The sequence below is a fragment of the Homo sapiens genome, chromosome 3, assembly GCF_000001405.40.
Source record: "Homo sapiens chromosome 3, GRCh38.p14 Primary Assembly".
Lineage (NCBI taxonomy): Eukaryota > Metazoa > Chordata > Mammalia > Primates > Hominidae > Homo > Homo sapiens.
The window spans coordinates 32,935,680-32,937,203 of record NC_000003.12 but is presented as its reverse complement, the minus strand read 5'-3'; the positions used below and the strand labels follow the sequence as shown (position 1 = coordinate 32,937,203).

Sequence of the window (1,524 nt, the reverse complement as noted above, 5' to 3'; positions counted from 1 at the left end):
GTTCTGGAATTACAGTAATGAGCCATGTGCCTGGCTGAAACTTAATTTATTTTGATTCAAAATATTTTCAAAGGCCAGGTGCAGTGGCTCACGCCTGTAATCCCAGCACTTTGGGTGGCCAAGGTGGGTGGATCACCTGAGGTCAGGAGTTGGAGACCAGCCTGGCCAACATGGTAAAACCTCATCTCCACTAAAAATAAAAAAATTAGCCGGGCATGGTGGCACATGACTGTAATCCCAGCTACTCAGGAGGCTAAGGCAGGAGAATCACTTGAACCCAGGAGGCAGAGGTTGCATTGAGCCGAGATCGTGCCATTGCACCCCAGCCTGGGCAACAGAGCAAGACTTCGTCTCAAAAAATACGTATTTTTTTCATGTAATATTAATGATACTTAAACAAAATAACTTTTTCTTTCTCTGAAAATATTTATAACTTTATATAACAAAATATCACAAAAATGATAACAGGAACATCTCATCAAACCACAGTGTGTTTCTATGTGTGTGCCTAAGTATACACATACCTTTGAGAACCAAAATCACTTATGTGAACAATATTTACAACACACAACAAGCAGATGTAATCAGTTCGTGTAATAAAATATATCCATGGCACAACAGTTTGTCTCAATTATAAAACCCATCATCTACCATCGTTTTAGGATCCAGGCTCATTTCCTGTATGAGACATGAACACATTGTTAAAAATTCCAAGATGTATTTCTTTGGGTCTCCTGGTTTTATTAAAAAAAGGAAAAGAGATATGTCATTAATTACTGAGTGCTGGTAAATGATCCTACTTGCATATAATTGAGAAGTGGGATCAATTTGGTTAAGGTTCAGTCAAGTTGAATTGTGAGATTTAAGAAAAATGTGAAATTTTTCACATTTCATTATGCAATATCAAAACCTCACTGTAAGAGTTTTTTGTTACTGTTGTAACAAACAACCACTACAAAATTCAGTGGCTTAAAGAACGTTAATTTACCATCTTACAGTCTGGCAGGCAGAAATCAGAAATCAGTTTCTCTGGGTGTTAGTAGGGCTGGTTCCTTCTAGAGGTTCTAGGGAAGAATCTGTTTCCTTGTCTTTTCCAGCTTCCAGTGGCCACCTACATTCCTTGGTTCATGGCCTCTTCCTCCGTCTTTAAAGCCAGCAATGTAGCATCTTCTCTCCTCTCTTAACTCATGCCTTCTTTTTACAAGGACCCTTGTTATTACACCTAACCCAGGTTCCTTTGGAATGTAGAGAAACACATTCACTGGTTCTGGGGATTAGAACATGGACACCCTTGGGGGCCATTATTCTGCCTACCGTATGGGATTCAGTAATGTCACACTGATCTCATCAGAAAATTCTTCCTGGCAAGTGGTCATATTCATGATAACAAATACAAATTTTCTTAAAGTATAATTTTTGCTTGAAAGCTCAAATTTTACCAGTGGCGACAAACATTATCAGTTGTTTCACTTGAAATCACAAGCTTATTTTATTTATTTTCAATAAAATATCTACCAAACACCT

The 1,524-nt window shown here is 38.0% G+C and overlaps 1 annotated feature.

Moving 5' to 3' along the window:
* Positions 215-412: a silencer, noted in NCBI's record as "fragment chr3:32978284-32978481 (GRCh37/hg19 assembly coordinates)". NCBI's record gives its function as "represses an EF-1alpha promoter that drives an FKBP-Casp9 reporter gene in an ReSE screen in phorbol 12-myristate 13-acetate-treated (for megakaryocytic differentiation) K562 erythroleukemia cells {active_cell/tissue: K562(+PMA)}" and the evidence as "EXISTENCE:reporter gene assay evidence [ECO:0000049][PMID:32094911]".